General features: G+C 40.1%; 1 protein-coding gene across 10 annotated transcripts in view; it reads left to right on the top strand.

Moving 5' to 3' along the window:
• Window positions 1–15198, top strand: part of PFKFB1 (6-phosphofructo-2-kinase/fructose-2,6-biphosphatase 1) — a 65829-nt gene that overhangs the window by 29728 nt on the left and 20903 nt on the right. For 4 of the 10 annotated variants that reach the window (XM_047442157.1, XM_017029576.2, XM_017029578.2 and 1 more), the window contains 6 exons: window positions 5680–5805; window positions 8082–8238; window positions 9169–9235; window positions 10137–10211; window positions 10700–10756; window positions 12788–12909. In XM_047442157.1, the coding sequence (XP_047298113.1) occupies window positions 5680–5805; window positions 8082–8238; window positions 9169–9235; window positions 10137–10211; window positions 10700–10756; window positions 12788–12909 (604 nt within the window). The remainder of the gene's footprint in view (window positions 1–5679; window positions 5806–8081; window positions 8239–9168; window positions 9236–10136; window positions 10212–10699; window positions 10757–12787; window positions 12910–15198) is intronic. The other 6 variants (XM_047442158.1, NM_001271804.2, XM_024452389.2 and 3 more) reach the window with 4 other exon arrangements.

Raw genomic sequence — 15198 nt, 5'->3', positions numbered from 1 at the left:
GAACCAGCCTTGTATTCCTGGGAAAAACCGTGCTTTCTTGTGGTATATTAATTATCTATTTTATATATAGCCAAATTTCATTTGCATTTTTTTAGGATTCTTATGTTCATGAGGGATATTGACTTGGAGTTTTCTTTTTTTGTATCACTTATTTTTCTGGTTTTTATATCAGGGTAATGCTGGCCTCACAGAGTAAGTTGATATGTATTTTCCTGTCTTCTAGTTTCATAGAGAGATTGTATAGAATTGATGCTATTTCTTCTTTAAATGAATGGTAAAATTTGCCAGTGAAACCGTCTGGACCTGGGTATTTTGGGGGAAGATTTTTAATTACAAATTCAATTTCAGTAATATTTATAGAAGGATTTAGATTATTTAGATTATTTGTTACATTTTGGATAAGGTTTGCCAGTTTGTTCTTTTTGAGGAATTTGTTTCATCTATGTTGTCGAATTTATGTGTTTAGAATTGCTATTATATACTCTTGTCATTGTAATACCTATGAAATTTCTATCTACTCTTTCATTCCTAAGTTTTTATTTCAGCTATTATATTTTTAGTCCAAAATATCCATTTGATTCTTTTTTTTTATTATACTTTAAGTTTTAGGGTACATGTGCACAATGTGCAGGTTAGTTACATATGTATACATGTGCCATGCTGGTGTGCTGCACCCACTAACTCGTCATCTATCATTAGGTATATCTCCCATTGCTATCCCTCCCCCCTCCCCCCACCCCACAACAGGCCCCAGAGTGTGATGTTCCCCTTCCTGTGTCCATGTGTTCTCATTGTTCAATTTGCACCTATGAGTGAGAATATGCGGTGTTTGGTTTTTTGTTCTTGAGATAGTTTACTGAGAATGATGATTTCCAATTTCATCCATGTCCCTACAAAGGACATGAACTCATCATTTTTTATGGCTGCATAGTATTCCATGGTGTATATGTGCCACATTTTCTTAATCCAGTCTATCATTGTTGGACATTTGGGTTGGTTCCAAGTCTTTGCTATTGTGAATAATGCCGCAATAAACAGACGTGTCCATGTGTCTTTATAGCAGCATGATTTATAGTCCTTTGGGTATATACCCAGTAATGGGATGGCTGGGTCAAATGGCATTTCTAGTTCTAGATCCCTGAGGAATCGCCACACTGAATTCCACAATGGTTGAACTAGTTTCCAGTCCCACCAACAGTGTAAAAGTGTTCCTATTTCTCCACATCCTCTCCAGCACCTGTTGTTTCCTGACTTTTTAATGATTGCCATTCTAACTGGTGTGAGATGGTATCTCATTGTGGTTTTGATTTGCATTTCTCTGATGGCCAGTGATGGTGAGCATTTTTTCATGTGTTTTTTGGCTGCATAAATGTCTTCTTTTGAGAAGTGTCTGTTGATGTCCTTCACCCACTTTTTGATGGGGTTGTTTGTTTTTTTCTTGTCGATTTGTTTGAGTTCATTGTAGATTCTGGATATTAGCCCTTTGTCAGATGAGTAGGTTGTGAAAATTTTCTCCCATTTTGTAGGTTGCCTGTTCAGTCTGATGGTAGTTTCTTTTGCTGTGCAGAAGCTCTTGAGTTTAATTAGATCCCATTTGTCAATTTTGGCTTTTGTTGCCATTGCTTTTGGTGTTTTAGACATGAAGTCCTTGCCCATGCCTATGTCCTGAATGGTAAAGCCTATTTATATCTTCTGTTTCTTCACTGAGTGCTTCTGTTTTAAATATTTGTTCCAAAATCGCTTGTTATTGTTCATTCAAGCATTTTTATTATAGCTAATTTAAGATAATTTAATGTAATCTCATCATTCATGTCTGTTGTCTTTTTCCATGTTAATTGAAATTTTTATGGTTATTTGCATGCTGATTAATTGTAGTTTGTATCCTGGACATTGTGAGTATTGTGTTGAGATTCTGTATCTTGTTTATATCCTATGGAGAAGGTCTATATTTTTGTTTTAGCCTTTTATATATTTTGGTTCCCACATCAATTCAATTTTCCAGCCTTTCTCAGTACTATATAGGTCTGTCCTGCATGTGTACCATCTAGTGGTTAGTCTGAGACTTGGGTGGAGGTGTAATTTGTAGTTGAGTTTCCAAATCTTTGGTATGCTAATGAAGATCAAAGGAGTCACAAGTCAGAGGTAAGCCCAGGGGTTCAAATCAACTTTACACTGTTGCTTTTTCAAAACTCTTCCCTTTCCTTTATCTTTTCAGTACTTTCCAGTTCCCTGGGCTCTCATTTCTGTTTTCTCTTCAAAAACTACCCACTGTCATGGTTGTAGCATTTCCAGAAACAAGTAGCAGGAGGAGAGAGTGAGGATGAGAGAGGGAGAGGGAGAGTGAGAACGAGAGGGAGAGGGAGAGGAAAAACTGGTATAAAGGTGTCTTCTTGACATCGTGGCTTCACCTAGAGGAAGGACCTTATCCCACAGTTTTGATTCCTGGAGGCTCCCATTCTGGGCCACTATTGCTTCTGAGCCACCTTTGCTTTTACTACCTCCACTGTGGAACCAAAGAAGGAGTAAATAAAAACCCAATGGATTTCCCCCACTCTCCGAATTTTAGTTCTCTTTTACATTCCTTGAGCCAAAACTCCAAGACTTCTCCTGCATCTCTGTCTGCTAAACAATGCTCATTTTGGATTGCACACCATGTTGAATTCAGGCTCAGGATACTGAATGGGGGAAAAGTAATGTTGAATTTGCAATTGTTTAGTTGGTACTTCAAACTCTGGTGTCTTCTCTGATCTACCTACTTAGATTTTCCTTTCAATTTTCATATAGTTGTCCATGCATTCTCTCAGAGTTTTATATTTGAGTTAGTGAGAGATAAAAGGTCTGAGAATTGGACCCAACTATATATGTTTTGTAAATGGCATGTAGTTGGATCCTACTTTTTAATCTAATCTGACCATCTCGGTCTTTAATTGGAATGTTTAGTCGATTCACATTTAAAGTGATTGTCAATATACTTAGATTAAAATCTACCATCTTTCTGTTTTCTTTTCATTATATTTGTTCTTGATGTTTTCTATTTACTGTATTTGGCTTTCGTTTCCTTTTTCCCTCTTTTTTTCTGCCTTTCATTATTTTATTTGTTCATTTTGTGTGATCCCATTTTGTCTCATGTATTTATTTATTATTTAGATATCTTATAAAGAAACTTTTTTAGTCATTTCCATTAAGTTTGTAATGTACATTTTTATATAATTTGGTTCACCTTTAAATAATACTATACTGCTTCATGTGTAGTACAAGACTATCCCCAATTCCTTCCTTCCATTCTTTGTTTCATTGTTGTATTCCATTATTTTTTTTACAAATGCAATAAACATATAATACATTGGTACTATTATTGCTTTAAAAGATCAGTTATATTTTAGAACAATTAAGAATATGATAGTTATATTTTTCTTCATTTATTCCTTTTGCAACACTCTTCCTTTAATTATGTACACCCAATTTTCTGACCTATATCATAACCCTCTTTCTGAAGAATTTCCTTTAATATTTAGACTGTAAGACAGTCTGCTGATGTTGAGTTTCCTCAGTTTTTGTTTGTCTGAAAAAGTATTTTATCTTAATTTTTGAAGGATATTTTTGCAGAACTTGGAATTCTGGATTGGCATTTTTTTCTTACAATACTTTAAAGGTTTCATTTCACTGTCTTTTTGCTTATGTGGTTTCTGACAAGAAGTCTGGTATAATTCTTCTCTTTGTTCTTCTGTGGGTAAGATGTTCCCCACCTACCGCCTTCTTCCTGGCAATCTTCAAGATTTTATTTCTGTCTTGATTTTCTGCAATTTGAATTTGATATTGTCTGGGTGTGGTTTTTGGTTTGGTTTTGGTATTTACCCTGGTTGGTGTTCTCTGAGCTTCTTGAATCTGTGGTTTGGTGTCAGTCATTAATTTGGAAAATTTTGGCCATTATGTCTTCAAATATTTCTTCTGCCTTATTCTTTCTTCCCCTTCTTGTGTTCTAAATACGTATATGTTATACTGTTTGATATTGTCCCACAGTTCTTGGATGTTTTGTTCTGGTTTCTTTTTTTGCTCTTTTTTTCTCTTTGCATTTCAGTTTGTGTGATCTCTATTGACCTATCTTCAAGTTCACTGATGCCTCAGCTGTGCGGAGTCTACTGATGAGCACATCAAAGATAGTCTTCAGATCTGTTACTGTGTTTTTTTCTCTCCCATTTATATTTGATTCTTTCTTATACTTTTCACCTCCCTGCCGAAATTACCTATCTGATCTTGCATGATAAACTTTTCCAATAGAGCCTTTAACATACTAATCATAGCTATTTTAAGTTTCCTATCTGATAAAGATGGAAACAGTAGACAAAGGGGACTCCAAAAGGGGGAACAGTGGGAGGGAGCAAGAGTTGAAAAACTACCTAGTGAGTACTATGTTCGCTATTTGGGTGATGGGTTCACTAGAAGCCCAAACCCCACCATTACACAATATACCCAGGTAACAAACCTGAACATATAACCCCTGAATCTATAATGTAAAAAAAGAAAGTAAAATAATCCAAATAAATAAACAAATTCCTTGTCTGATATTTCCAACATCTGTGTCATAACTTACTCTGGTCCTAATGATTGCTTTTCTCTTCAGACATTGTTTTTATTCCTTGCTTTGTTCGCCCTTTGTGCTACACCCTGGAGATAATATATCTCTTAAATCTCTTATAGATGTATTCCACTGTTATTTTTACTGATGCTTTTTAGCCTGGTAGTGGGGGAATGGGGACCTGGGACATTCTATGCTATGCTGATTAAGTCTCAGTCTTAGGCAGGCTTACCCTGGGTGTTGGAGGTATGACCTTCACAAGTGTTCCTGCCCCTCCTCCTATGTTCTAACCCAAGTGGGCTTAGCACATTTTCCTGCCCCTCCTGGGTTAGGACTTTTTTTTTTTTCAATTTTCTCCCCCAGCTGTAGTGAGTTTTCACCAGTGCCCTCAGTTTCTGTTGCCCTTTCTTCTGAGGACTAAGACTTTTTTCCCTTTGGGAAGATAAGGTAGATTGGTATGGGCAGAGTTTCAGTGATGTTGGCCATTCTGCTCTGCCAGCTGCAGTGAGTTTCTCCCAGTACTTTCAAGCTGGTTTTTGTTGCCTTTTCCCTGAATAGTAAGGCTTTTGCTCCATAGAGAATATAGGGAAACTAGTCTGTGCAGAATTTCAGCAACAGCTATTATACTGTTCTGCCCGAGCAGAACTACAGGATATCTTTCTCAGGATTCTTCTCAGTCTTTCTTGTCAGCACCTGGGGCAGTTCCTGGAGGAAAACTCTGCAAAGGGGTGCAAAATTGCCTATGTCTGCAGCCCCTACAGGCTTCACATTCTCACACTAGCCCATAACCAGCCTTTAGCAATTCATTATAATTTTTAGCTGAATCCTCTTATAAAGTTTGTATGTTGTTCAGTGGTATCTGCACCAGGTAAGCAAATGCCTGTTCCTGTGGCTCCCTTGAAGATGGTTGTTTCTACAGGTTTGTGGTACTGCAACCTCAGTTTTCTGATGAGTCTGAGAGAAGTTCTTAATTTTCACTTTCCCGGTTTTTTCGTTACTGTAATGGTGGGAGACATGTTCTTTACAACTCTACATTTCTGGCCTAATACCAGAAGAGCCTATGAATCTGAGGATAAGCTTTTGAGGGTCTGTTTATTTTTCAGCATCCATACCCCAGTTTACCAATTCCCCCACAATGGTGATCATGGTGGGTTTACCAGCTCGAGGCAAGACCTATATCTCCACAAAGCTCACACGATATCTCAACTGGATAGGAACACCAACTAAAGGTATGTCTCTGAAAGCCTTTGTTCAACAACCCCATAAAAGCTACTGGCTGAAAACCTTACTTAGGTAGAAGGCCAAAGTCCTCAATACCAGAAATGCCCCATCATTATTATTACCAGCATTAGGACTACTGCTACCACTATTACTACATTCTTATACATTTTATAACTTCTTGAGCACATACTTTGTGCCCAACACCACTCTAGGTGCTAAGCATAGGAAAACTAGTATTAAGATTAAATGTCTTCTCTCAAGAAGTTCCATGACCTCAAAACAATCCTGTGAGTAACATATTATTTTTATTGCCATTACTATTATTGCCATACCAATATTACTACTTTTATTAGCATTACCACTTCTTCACCATTTCATAGCTGAGGAAATTAAGGCCCAAGGAGTGAAGTGCCTTGTCTAAAGGCATATATCCAGTTACAGAACCAAGATATGAACCCAGGTCTATTTGATTCTAAGCCTGATATTCACTGTGCCAAGTCTAATGCATGATTCTACTGATTGGAAGAGAAAAGAATCCCATGTTAGCCCTATAGTCTCCTTTTCTTCATTCTTTTTGTCTCCTTCTTTTCCTTGTTAATCTCAACATCCTGTCTCTCTGCCCCACTTCACTCTATCTCTCCCCCTCTTCCTTCCTCTCCCCAATTTTTGTTTCTTTTTCCCATTTCTTCTTTCTGTTCATCTATGTTCTCTTTATCTAATTCACTGGTGAGGAGTTTCCCGATGGTTTACCATGTGCCCAAACTCCTGCTAGGCAGTGGGGATACAAAACTGGTTGAGACTCACACCCTGTCCTTGAGGAGTTCTGAGTCTAGCTGGGATGTATAAGAATACCTCATATCATCTAGGAATTCTAGAGCAGGAGCAGGGCGCTGTATGAAATCACAAAGGGATATGCCAACTGGAAGGCAAGGAAAGCTTCCTACATAGGATATGTTTGAGCTGAGTCTTGTGGGAGGAATAAGACATTGGCAGAAGGGAAGGAGAGAAGGAGCAGCTCTCATGGAGGACTGCAAGCTCTCAGGAAAATCTGCTGAGTGTAGAGGCACATGGGACACTGGCAGACGGGTTTCTGCCTTAAGGGCCCCATCATGGGTTCTGATTCCCCTGCTTTCTATCTTCTTCACTCAATTCTCTCAAAGGCCTCCAGAGTCATATTTCAAAGCACAAAGCTGAACATGCCTGTGGCCTCCAAAGGTCCCCTTGGCCTGCAGGTTTAAATCCAAGCTCCTTACCCTGTTGTTCAAGGCCCTCCACAATTGGCCCCTTCCAGCATCTCAGGCCTCAGCTATAGTGGATGACTCACCATCCTCCAAACATGCTCTTCCTTCTGCCAATGCCATACTCTTGCTCAAGCTGTTCCTCTACCTGGAATGCCTTTGTTCCTGACTCCCGCTGCCCATATCTGCCTGTAAAAGGTGCCTACCCTAAAAAGCCTGGTTCAAGTGGTGAAACCTTCTCAGATCATTCCAAGTACAATTAGTCTTTCCTTCTCTCTCACTGTCTTCCGTGGCTTAATATTGTCTTTGTCAGAGCATTGAACAAACTCTGTGGGAGCTCTCCATTTACTGGTTTACTCACTGTCTTACCTGTTGGACTGTGAGTGCCTTAAAGGCCCCATCATGAAGATCGGGCTAATCCCTGAGACCCAGAGCTCATATCCTGATTCACAGAGTAGGAGTCAAAAAGTATTTGTTAGATGAGTGAATGAAATATTAACTCTTTGGCTGCTTATCTTCTTTCTCCTCCTTTCCTTCCCTCCTCTCTAGTTTTTCATCATTGCAAGTGGGAAAGTATGGCCTAGAGATTTAGATTTAGAATCTTCCTCATAATATAGAAAAATAAAATAACTTTGGACTAGAAGTCAGGAGGTCCAGTCTATATCTGTCACCAGCTCACTCACTGTTTGACCCTTGGTGATTAATTTTACTCCCTAGATCTCCATTTCTTCATCTTTCCACTGGAGTAGGGCATTTTAAGGATTGGCATTTATGATAAAGTAGAATAATGGAAAGACCACCAGCTATGGAGCTAAATAGACCTGGGTTTGATCTCAGATATCCACAGATAGGAAATAACTTACACTGTGTAAGTTATTTCCTATCTCTGAACTTTCAGTTTCCTCATTTATAAAATGGTAATAGTGATCTCTACTTTGCAGGGCTGTTGTGAGGAATAAATAAACTGGTAGCCATAATTTGAAGTTTTAAAAGCACATTTTGTAGCTACAAATTATACCTTCTTCTACCTCTGAGGTCCCTCCCAGCAAGGACATTTTTTTGGCCACTGGGATCTTCCCAACCTCTTCACTGGCACTCCCTGCTTTCAGTGTTTAATTTAGGCCAGTATCGACGAGAGGCAGTGAGCTACAAGAACTATGAATTCTTTCTTCCAGACAACATGGAAGCCCTGCAAATCAGGAAGTAAGTACCCAATATTTTAGGAACCTGTGCTGTCTCATGGCTGAAAGGCCCTTGTTCAGATATTGGGGGAGTAGGGCAGAATAATCTGGACCAGAAAGGAGGCCCTCTAGACTCTCAAACAGTAGTTGGAACAGCCCTTCCATTTTCCTGCCCAAATCCTGTTTCTGGTCAAGAATAATCTGGACCAGAAAGGAGGCCCTCTAGACTCTCAAACAGTAGTTGGAACAGCCCTTCCATTTTCCTGCCCAAATCCTGTTTCTGGTCATAACCATCCACTTATCAAGAACCTTTAATGGTCTTCTACTTCTGACAGGAGAGAGTAGAAACTTCTCAGCTTAGCATTTGAGGCATGAATCTCAATACCTTGGCCTACTCTAGTTTCTGTAGTCTCATCAGTTCAACCTCAAGGTCTCTCTGCACTACAAGACTCTGAGTACTTGCAGAATAGAGCCTGTGCCTTATGCCTTCATTATAGAACCTGGCAGTGAGTAATCACTAAAGAGATTTTTGCTGAAAGCATAAATACATTGCCACTGTCATGCCTGTGTGTTACCCATGCCAGGAATGCCTTTTACTTCACAGACCACATGCTCTACTTGGGTCCATAAAACAGTTCAGCTTGAGTTCCATTAGCTCAAGGGTTGGAGCCCTTAATATTATGGCTTCTGTCATTGCTCAGCTTTTCCTGATTGTGTCACTTTATACCTGCCCGTAAACCGTGTAAGCTGTGCACACATAGCCACTTTCAACTGTTTGACCCCTCTGTGCTTAGCACGGTGCCTAAAGCGTAGGGCACCCTGTGTAGATGTTCAATACATGATAAGTTAGTCTAAGACATGAGAGATGGTACAGAAGATACTGCAGACAATGAGAGAGAAATCCATCCTGGGGGATAAGGGTTGCCTCTTTTTCTTTCCTGGTCTATTTCAGGCAGTGCGCCCTGGCAGCCCTGAAGGATGTTCACAACTATCTCAGCCATGAGGAAGGTCATGTTGCGGTAAAGAAATTTTTTATTTTTTCCTTGGGTAACTACTGGGAAGGGAATTAGCTAATATGTACTGAACATTTACCAATGTGTACAGAACATTATGTTCTGAGTATTTGCATATATTAATAATTTAATTTTATGCTCCCCCCTTGAGATAGGTGTTGTTATTATGCCCCAATTCAGAGCCCAGAAGAATGGTTCACAGAGACATTAAATAATTTCCCAAGGTGGTACAACGTATACCTGGCAGGGCCAGAAGTGGAATCCAGGTTGCATAGCTTCAGAATCCCCGCTCTTAACCACTATACACTACCAGTCTACCCCCAATAATTCAGCAGGACTATATTAGAATTTAAAACTGCAGTACAAACAGTTTTGAGTTATAGAGACTTACCTAAATATCTAGTCAATATTTTGGCTAGGATTTGCAAATTATAAAAGGGGAGGAGATTCTCAAATATGCAAATGGTCCAATCTCAGGTGCTGAGGTTAGGGAATTGTTTCCTGTTTTAGAGGACTTCTAAAGTGATAAGGAAGGAAGAAGCTTCAGCTAGGAATTGAGAGAACCAGTTCTAGCTCTGCTCTGTCAGCAACTCTCGGTGACTTTGGTCAAGCCAACTTCTTCTAGGCCTCAGTTACCTCACCTATAAAATGACCCTAATAAAAACCCACAATTTCCTCTTGCCTTATTACACTCACAGGGTAGCATACATTTCTGGACAGACCATAAGGGCCCAATATGTGCTTGTGAAATTGTCATAAGCCAATCATGAATCCTTCCTATCCTTCAAGACCTTGTTCAAGTTCTACCTCCATATGGAAGCCCTCCACTTAGCACAGGGATGGGCAAAGAGTAGGTGTTCTGTTAGCACCAGATTCAGAGTAAGCCAATCTCATTACCTGCCTCTAGGTTTTTGATGCCACCAACACTACCAGAGAACGACGGTCACTGATCCTGCAGTTTGCAAAAGAACATGGTTACAAGGTATGGTAACACTCCAACTCTTATCTAGAGCCTATTTCTCCAGCACAAACCCCAAAGAAAGGCAAACCAGGGGACTCAGAGCGGCCAAATCCGCAACCATAAGCTCAACATTTTAATTTGGTTCTCTAACTTTCCAGGATATAGTCAGAAGCAGCAAAGCAGAACAAGAAAGGAGGGGTGCCACATTAGGCAATGGAAGTTGACTGCAGACAGGCTGGCTATGGGGAAAGAGTGGAGAGAGTCACTACAAAAAACTTATATAAGACCTAAACCCAGTAAAGATATAAAACAACAGTCTGGGGTCATTCAGTTTAGAGCCAATTTGCCTCATGAAACTCAGAAGCCTGGAAGTACCACTGTATGAGAGCATTATGTTGTCAGAGATGCCCCTGGAGATGACTTAGAGCCATTGAAAAGGAGTAAAGCTATGTTCAGCTCCTACCAAACATAATTTCCTGCTGGAAATCTCTTTTCTGTTTCTTTTATAGGTGTTTTTCATTGAGTCCATTTGTAATGACCCTGGCATAATTGCAGAAAACATCAGGGTAAGGACCACCAGTTACTTTTCCACTTTGCTCTGCCTTAGGCTTAGATCATGCCTAAGGCAGAGGTGAGATTATGCCTAAGGCAACTCCATGAGATTAAAGAAAGTATTCCTCCCTGATCTTCTCTGAGTTTTCATAGGAAGCATTCCCTAACCATCCTGGCTTACAATGACTCTATTAATTTTAATGAAGCCAACATATATAGTGCCCTTTGTATGCTCCAGATATCAAACTTGACTGTCATTAATTTTCACAACAAAACTGCATATTAGAGATTATTTCCATGTTAGAGAGAGGAAACTGAGGTTCCAAAAGCATAAATGAATTGTCAAAAATTCATACAAAGGGATGGAAGTGGGACTGGACCTCAGGCTTGGCTGTCTGCCTCAAAAGCCTACATTTTTTATTCTGCCCCAAAATTCATACCAGAACTATCACTGCTCTTAGATTCTAGACATGTGGTCTAGAACTAGGTCATTTACCACATTTTGTTGTTCCCTACTTCATCAAATTACTGGAGCTCAAGAACAGAAGAGACCTTAAGGGTAATTTTCTTCTACCCTCCATCAGATACTTGAAATCTTACCTAAATGTATATCTATATTTTCTTTTTATACCTGCAATGACAAGGGGCCCATTGCTTTCAACAAATGCGGTCCAGTCAAGCTGGAATCTGCCTCCCTGTAATTTTTATTAATAGGTCATTTTTTTAACTTTTTGGGACATACAGCATGTCCATTTCCTCCCTTCCTTCTTCATCCTCCCATCTATCTATCTATCTATTGATTCAATAGAAATTGACTATATACCTGGTCTTGGCCATTCTGGGCATTAGAGACATATATATGGATAGTGGAGAGTCCTTCCCTTGAGCGCACAGTCTAGTAAGGAAGACTGGCAAGTATATATACAGAACTCTGAGAACTGAGGTGAGATGAGGGAACAGAGGAACTTTGGGAAGACAGTGCTGAGGGCCTAACTTTGCATGGGGGCAGAAATCAGGGAAGCCTTCCTAATGGAGGTAAAATTAAAATGAATGGTACCTTGAAGAACACATAAGAATTTGGTGGGTGAAGAATGGAAAATAAGGATATAAGCATATACTAAGTATGGCATCTCCAGAGAACTATAAGTAGCTTAAATTGGCTAAAGCCAAATGTGTGGAGGAATAAGGGAGCCATGGGAGATAAGGATGAAGAAATAATTTGGGGCCCAATCATGACAAGCCATGAGCCACCTGCTAAAATAATTCACACTTTTTTCTAAAAGGTATGACAAAATGTAGAAGGGCTTTAGGCAGGAGAATACTTTGGCCAGATGTTCATATTAGAAATACCCTTCTGGCTGCCAGTATGGTGAATACATTAGAACTAAAAAGAATATAGACAAAGTAATTGGGCACAAAGCTATAGTGAGCACAAGCAAGAAAGAATGGATATTTAGAGGAGATGATAGAGTGGAGAGGATTTGGTACCTGCTAAGAGGTGAGGGATGATAGAAAGACAGACATCTAGGATGACTCCCAGGTTCCATTTAGGATCATATGACTGGGTAGGTGATAGTGCCAGTACCTGAGATGAGGACTGTGGGAGGAGACGTGGGTATTGGTGGATTAGGAGAGGCCAGTCTTCAGAAATCCAAAGACAGCACATCATAATCTCCCGGTAAACACTTGATACATGTAAGTCATAATGACCCCTGGCCAAGATCTCTAGTTCCTCTTCTTCAGCCATTTCTCATATCACAATTTCTGGTCCTCTTATAAATGTTCTTCTTTTATAAGGAGTGTATTCTCTGGGACTGAGTATAATGTAACAGGCCTTGTTTGAGATTAGGAATGAGGAGTCACACAACCAGCTTCTTTTCAATTGGCTGATTTTTGTAAACTTGGGCAAGATGTGTTCTCCAGGTCTCAATTTCCTCATCTTTATAATGAGGCATCTTGTACTCAATGGTCTCTAAGGGAACTTCCAAAGAAAACCATCTGTCTCCCAATGTCTCCCTTGATACCTCTGTTCTCCCTGCTCCCAGCAAGTGAAACTTGGCAGCCCTGATTATATAGACTGTGACCGGGAAAAGGTTCTGGAAGACTTTCTAAAGAGAATTGAGTGCTATGAGGTCAACTACCAACCCTTGGATGAGGAACTGGACAGGTAAGAGCCAGCACCCCAAAGTCAAGGTCTAGATCTTTCACCCAGTTTTGATATCCTGTAGAACCTAGAGTAAATATCCTCCCTTGCTGGGCCTCAACTTCTCTATCTGTAATATCAGGAAACTGAACTTGATGATCTTTCTTCAAGGATCCTTTCAGCTCTGATTCCTTGATGTGTAAGGTGTTCCTAAGATGACTAAAATAGTGCTTTCCTGAGCAATATGAACAGTTCAGGACCCTGGGAACAAATGCCCCCCTCCTGTGGGTGTTGCGATTATTATTACAAAAGTGTTCTTCACACGTGAATGACACTTCAGTTTCCAAACATGTATACCTTCTTTCTTACATTTAATCCTCTAGGACTCCTGTAAAGGAGGCTGAGATAAGTCTTATGGTCATAAAATTTCAAGAAAAAGAAATTGAGTCTTAGAGAGTTGAAATTACTTTCCCAAGCTCCCACCACAAGGGGTAGAGCTAGGATTCTAATTACATGTTCTGTCTCCTAGTCATGTCTCTTTTCACAACACTCCCATGTCTCATCAATCAACAAGTATTTGGACCCTTTGGGCTGTGGTATATGTAGGGGGTATAAATAGGGGCAAAAGAGGTGGGTTCTATCCTCGGGTAGCTTCTATAGTGCTTTGACATATGAGAAGACCCATAAAAAAAAACAAGAAATGTTCTGTCATCATACCAACTAAAGATAGGAGAGAGCAGATGTGAGTTTTAGATATAGAATGTTCCCAGAACCCTACTCTCTTTGAAAATGTATTATGATGAGAAGAGACCCCAAGTGAGAAGTATAAAGAGGCTTCAAATGGTCATCACCACTCTAAGAAATCTAAAGAGTGGCCTTACCCAACTGAAGTACCAAGAAATGAGCACTGTTACTGCCCCACTCTTTAGATGGAGGAACTGAGACCCAGATCAAGTCAAAGTCTTACCTTGGGCTACACAATGAATGAGTCAGTAGCACAATATATACTCGAACCCATATCCCAGTTGTGCAGATTGTTCATTGTACAGGCACCCTGGTCAAGGGTACACTCGCTTCTCTCACCAAGATGTGTGCTGAAGTAGGGCTGTGTGACCCTGAGGAAAGTACGGCTTTTTAAAATTATCACAAAGGCACAATATGGGCTAACAGCATATGGTGAAAGGAGCCTGAAGGCCGGGGTGAAGGATGTAAGTGAAAGAACGGCATTGACAAAGCCCCAGCCCTGGGCCTAGACCCTGCAGTTGCTAGGTTGCTGTTTGATGAATTAGTTTGGGCCAGAAGAAGACAGATCTAGAAGGTCAGCTTTATGTCATCATTTCTCCATCAACAGACATTTACAGTCTATGCATCAGGTCCCAGCCCTGAACGTGGAATCAAAAGAGGAAAGGGCTGTCCCTGATTTGACAGAATGTCCAGTTAGTTGGAGAAGACAATGAGTACACAGTTGGTCACAACTCTGGTGACAGTAAACCAACTGGGCTGTAGGAACATAGGACCCAGTCCAGCTTAGAGGAAGAAGGTCTAAACGAGCTGGATTACCCAATAGGCAGACTACACTGAGGTTACCAGCAAGATAAGGGCTACCAAACTAAGAAAAAAAACTATCTTAAAAACTTTTATTTATTTATTTATTTTTAATTTTTGAGACAGAGTCCCGCTCTGTCACCCAGGCTGGGGTGCAGTTGCGTGATCTCAGCTCACTGCAACCTCTGCCTCCTGGGTTCAAGCAATTCTCCTGTCTCAGCCTCCTGAGTAGCTGGGACTACAGGTGCCCGCCACCGTGCCTGGCTAATTTTTGTATTTTTATTAGAGATAGGGTTTCCCATGTTGGCCAGGCTGTTCTCGAACTCCTGACCTCAAATGATCTGCCCGCCTTGGCCTCCCAAAGTGCTGGGATTACAGGCATGAGCCACCGCACCCAGCTGGCTTAAAGGCTTTTATAATATTGACTATTTCAAAAACAGCATCAAGGTAGTCAAAGTGGAAAAATATAAAACCAGAACTTGGGAGGACCTCCCCATATTCTGTAGTTTATAATTTTTATTTTAAATAAAAATTTAAAAATTTTTTAAAAAATTTTTAAATAAAATTAAAAGTTTGGATGAGGGTAGGCATTAGCTACTCTGCTATTTTTGGTGTGGAACACCTCTAAATGACTTCACATGATCCTGGTCTCAAAAAAGAGAGTGAATATGCCGGCTCTTGAGGTATAAATGCATAGCAGCTCAACTTTGGAAATCGGGCAAAGAGAATAGCACTTTGTAAGTGCCTAGTTAAATCTGAACAAGAGTA

This window comes from Homo sapiens, chromosome X (assembly GCF_000001405.40).
Source record: "Homo sapiens chromosome X, GRCh38.p14 Primary Assembly".
In the NCBI taxonomy this organism is placed as follows: Eukaryota; Metazoa; Chordata; class Mammalia; order Primates; family Hominidae; genus Homo; species Homo sapiens.
The sequence above is the reverse complement of the archived record's forward strand: the minus strand, read 5'-3'. Positions and strand labels throughout refer to the sequence as shown.